Raw genomic sequence first — 5,298 nt, forward strand, 5'->3', positions numbered from 1 at the left:
GTAGGACAGATCAACTTTAACTGGTTCCATTTATAAAGGTACAGTTTAAATCCATTGTCCTTTTAACCTACTCTGTTTTACTTGTTTCATGGATAAAAAATTAAAATTAAAGCTCTTGCATTTTTACATTTGTCTGTCTTTATTTCTGTGTATACATGTTTACATGTCTATCTTTATATATTTGTCTTTATATGGTACCAAATTGATAGACATAAATCAGTACTCATAAATTAAGTAAATAAGCCCAAATGCTTTGCAAGTTCATGTAACTTTAGTAATCTTTCATATATAAAGCTAGTTTTTAAATTATTTAGATTAAAATGTTTATAAAAATTTAGACACTTTTGCCTGAGCCTACTGGTCAGACTAATTTATTCTGTCTCTGCTAGATTTTTAACATCATAAAACTATTGTTTATGAGATATTTTTGATAGTTGCCTAATTTGTCTATAAGCTTATGTCTTTGGTTTTAAGTCTTTAGGTTCTGGGGTATAGACAGGAGACCACAGTTAGACCTGGAAATATATGTGTGTCTACAGTGCCTGGGTCATTAGCTGCAGTGCATGGCCAACTCCAATATGGCCCCGTATTTCCTGGTCCAGCTGTGTCTTCTGACCATTTTCAGAGGGATTGGATCCTACAGGCATTGTCTTTAGAGCTCTGTCCTCTGTCCTAAGTTCTGCACTTGATACTTAAAAATTAAAATTACTGGCCAGGCGCAGTTGTTCACACCTGTAATCCCAGCACTTTGGGAGGCCAAGGCAGGTGCATCATCTGAGGTTGGAAGTTTGAGACCAGCCTGACTAACATGCAGAAACCCTGACTCTACTAGAAATACAAAATAGCTGGGTGTGGTGGCACATGGCTGCAATCCCAGCTGCTCAGGAGGCTGAGGCAGGAAAATTGTTTGAACCAAGGAGGCAGAGGTTGCAGTGAGCTGAGATCGCACCATTGCACTCCAGCCTGGGCAACAAGAGCAAAACTCTGTCTCAAAAAATAAATAAATAAATAAATAAATAATTAAAATTACTTACTTCTTTGGTTTTTCAATAAAAATTAGCCTTACTGAGAGTTAACATTGAAGTTAATATATGTAATTAAAATTACTAGATATAGAGAAAACAATTCTGTATATGAAATATACAAAAATGTAAGATGTTTTTGATAAGTTATAAAAGGATATAAAAATGTGATTTTTCTTTAAAAAGTGATTTTCTTTCATTTAGAGGTTGTTTAAAGGTTGTTTTAAATCAAAGAAATAAAAAGTGATAGATAAAACTGAATATATTTAAATTGATAAAAGAAAAAGAATTAAAATTTGTAAAAGATTATAAAAGGTGTATAAAATCATGTATGTTCAAAGATGATTCAGATGGGATACATTTGTTTATAAGGTTTTGTTAAAATTAGCTTTAGTATTAATAATGTGCTAGTGAAAAGGTAAAATTTGGCTTTCTCTTTTAAATAAGATTGTCATGTAATAGTAATAAAAATAGTAAAATACTTTTGGAAGCCTTTTGATTATAAAGACAAAAACAGCAATAAGTGGGGAGAGTTTGCTTCATGTTGTCTTTATTCTTTTGATTGGTTGGTTGGAAAACTGAGTCTCCTGATATGGTTTGGCTTTGTCCCCACCCAAATCTCATCTTGACTTGTAGTTCTCATAATCTCCACATGTCGTGGGAGGGACCTGGTGGTAAGTAATTGAATCATGAGGTGGGTTACCCCCATGCTATTCTAGTGATAGCAAGTGAGTTCTCATGACAGCTGATGGTTTTATAAGGGTTTTTTCTCTCCTTTGTTCAGCACTTCTCCTTCCTGCAGCCATGTGAAAAAGGACGTTTGCTTCCCTTTCCACCATGATTTTAAGTTTCCAGAAGCCTCCCCAGCCATGCTGAACTGTGAGTCAATTAAACCTTTTTCCTTTATAAATTAGCCAGTATTGAGTTATATAACTTGTAAAGTATGTAAATTATACTTGGCTAATTAATAAATTAGCCAAATTAGCTAATATGTCTTTATTAGTAGCATGAGAATGGACTAATATACCTCCCTATCAATGAGTAAAGTTTTTTTGTTTGTTTTATTTTGTCTTTTTGTTTTTTGAAAATGTTTAATTATCACTTTAGCTAAATAAATGACTTATTTTACAGTGACCTGCAATCCTATTTTTCATCAAGTTTATTAAACTTTTTATATTTGACAAGCTTCTCAAACTCATATTTCAAATTCTAAATTAAGTCTTTTTGACCTTGAGCCAACTTTTGAACATTTCAAAAAGAGACCCCATGATATGGTTTGGCTCTGTGTCTCCACCTAAATCTCACCTTGAATTGTAATCCTCATAATCCCCATGTTTCAAGGTCAAGACAAGGTGGAGGTAATTCGATCATGGGGGCAGCTTCCCGAATGCTGTTGTTGTGAGAATGAGTAAGTCTCATGAGATCTGATGGTTTTATAAGGATCTGGCATTTCCTCTGCTTGCACTCACTCCATCCTGCCACACTGTGAAGAAGATGCCTGCTTCTCCTTTCCCTTCTGCCATGATTATAAATTTCCTGAGGCCTGCCCAGCAATGTGGAACTGTAAGTCAATTAAACCTCTTTCCTTTATAAATTACCCAGTCTCTAGTATTTCTTTGTAGCAGTGTGAGAATGGAGTAATATACCCTGGAAGTCCAAGAGAGACATATTAGGTTTACTTGTTGCATATGAGAGACATTGTCAAATAAGAAAAGACATTTAACCTTTTCTTGAGTGGATGTTATTAATATGTGCTCTAAATTATAAGATATCTAAAAAGTCTGATATGTCTTGGTATGTATTATCAGTCATAATTATGATTACTATGTTAAATTACTGTAGATCACAGAAAAAGTAACCAAATTTATTTGCCAATTGTATCTTTAACCATGGCTATACTAGGTCTTTTGTAATCCACAGGAAATTACTATCTTACTTTGATTCTTCTAAGAAAAGTGGTTGGGGGGAGGAGCCAAGATGGCGGAATAGGAACAGCTCCGGTCTACAGCACCCAGCATGAGGGATGCAGAAGACGGGTGATTTCTGCATTTCCATCTGAGGTACCCGGTTCATCTCACTAGGGAGTGCCAGACAGTGGGTGCAGGTCAGTGGGTGCAGCGCACCGTGTGTGAGCCGAAGCAGGGCGAGGCATTGCCTCACTCAGGAAGTGCAAAAGGTCAGGGAGTTCCCTTTCCTAGTCAAAGAAAGGGGTGACAGACAGCACCTGGAAAATCGGATCACTCCCACCCGAATACTGCGCTTTTCCGACAGGCTTAAAAAACGGCGCACCAGGAGATTATATCCTGCACCTGGCTCGGAGGGTCCTACACCCATGGAGTCTCACTGATTGCTAGCACAGCAATCTGAGATCAAACTGCAAGGCGGCAGTGAGGCTGGGGGAGGGGTGCCCGCCATTGCCTAGCCTTGCTTAGGTAAACAAAGCAGCTGGGAAGCTCCAACTGGGTGGAGCCCACCACAGCTCAAGAAGGCCTGCCTGCCTTTATAGGCTCCACCTCTGGGGGCAGGGCACAGACAAACAAAAAGACAGCAGTAACCGCTGCAGACTTAAATGTCCCTGTCTGACAGCTTTGAAGAGAGCAGTGGTGCTCCCAGCACTCAGCTGGAGATCTGAGAATGGGCAGACTGCCTCCTCAAGTGGGTCCCTGACCCCTGACCCCTGAGCAGCCTAACTGGGAGGCACCCCCCAGTAGGGGCAGACTGATACCTCACACGGGCGGGTACTCCTCTGAGACAAAACTTCCAGAGGAACGATCAGACAGCAGCATTCGCAGTTCACGAAAAAACCACTGTTCTGCAGACACCGCCGCTGATACCCAGGCAAACAGGGTCCGGAGTGGACCTCTAGCAAACTCCAACAGACCTGCAGCTGAGGGTCCCGTCTGTTAAAAGGAAAACTAACAAACAGAAAGGACATCCACACCAAAAACCCATCTGTACATCACCATCATCAAAGATCAAAAGTAGATAAAACCACAAAGATGGGGAAAAAACAGAGCAGAAAAACTGGAAACTCTAAAAAGCAGAGCACCTCTCCTCCTCCAAAGGATTGCAGTTCCTCACCAGCAATGGAACAAAGCTGGACAGAGAATGACTTTGACGAATTGAGAGAAGAAGGCTTCAGATGATCAAACTACGAGCTACCAGAGGAAATTCAAACCAAAGGCAAAGAAGTTAAAAACTTTGAAAAAAATTTAGACGAATGTATAACTAGAATAACCAATACAGAGAAGTGCTTAAAGGAGCTGATGGAGCTGAAAGCCAAGGCTCGAGAACTACATGAAGAATGCAGAAGCCTCAGGAGCCGATGTGATCAACTGGAAGAAAGGGTATCAGCGATGGAAGGTGAAATGAATGAAATGAAGCGAGAAGGGAAGTTTAGAGAAAAAAGAATAAAAAGAAATGAACAAAGCCTCCAAGAAATATGGGACTATGTGAAAAGACCAAATCTACATCTGATTGGTGTACCTGAAAGTGACGGGGAGAATGGAACCAAGTTGGAAAACACTCTGCAGGATATTACCCAGAACTTCCCCAATCTAGCAAGGCAGGCCAACATTCAGATTCAGGAAATAGAGAGAACGCCACAAAGATACTCCTTGAGAAGAGCAACTCCAAGACACATAATTGTCAGATTCACCAAAGTTGAAACGAAGGAAAAAATGTTAAGGGCAGCCAGAGAGAAAGGTCAGGTTACCCTCAAAGGGAAGCCCATCAGACTAACAGCTGATGTCTCAGCAGAAACTCTACAAGCCAGAAGAGAGTGGGGGCCAATATTCAACATTCTTAAAGAAAAGAATTTGCAACCCAGAATTTCATATCCAGCCAAACTAAGCTTCATAAGTGAAGGAGAAATAAAATCCTTTACAGACAAGCAAATGCTGAGAGATTTTGTCACCACCAGGCCTGCCCTAAAAGAGCTCCTGAAGGAAGCGTTAAACATGGAAAGGAACAACCGGTACCAGCCGCTGCAAAATCATGCCAAAATGTAAAGACCATCGAGACTAGGAAGAAACTGCATCAACTAACGAGCAAAATATCCAGCTAACATCATAATGACAGGTTCAAATTCACACATAACAATATTAACCTTAAATGTAAATGGACTAAATTCTCCAATTAAAAGACACAGACTGGCAAACTGTATAAAGAGTCAAGACCCATCAGTGTGTTGTATTCAGGAAACCCATCTCACATGCAGAGACACACATAGGCTCAAAATAAAAGGATGGAGGAAGATCTACCAAGCAAATGGAAA

The 5,298-nt window shown here is 39.5% G+C and overlaps 1 annotated feature.

Moving 5' to 3' along the window:
• Nucleotides 2,449-3,648: an enhancer, noted in NCBI's record as "CDK7 strongly-dependent group 2 enhancer chr7:123534015-123535214 (GRCh37/hg19 assembly coordinates)". NCBI's record gives its function as "activates an origin of replication core promoter dependent on BRD2, BRD4, P300/CBP, MED14 and CDK7 cofactors, with strong dependence on CDK7, by STARR-seq in HCT116 cells {active_cell/tissue: HCT116}" and the evidence as "EXISTENCE:reporter gene assay evidence [ECO:0000049][PMID:35650434]".

The sequence above is a fragment of the Homo sapiens genome, chromosome 7 (assembly GCF_000001405.40).
Source record: "Homo sapiens chromosome 7, GRCh38.p14 Primary Assembly".
Taxonomy (NCBI): domain Eukaryota; kingdom Metazoa; phylum Chordata; class Mammalia; order Primates; family Hominidae; genus Homo; species Homo sapiens.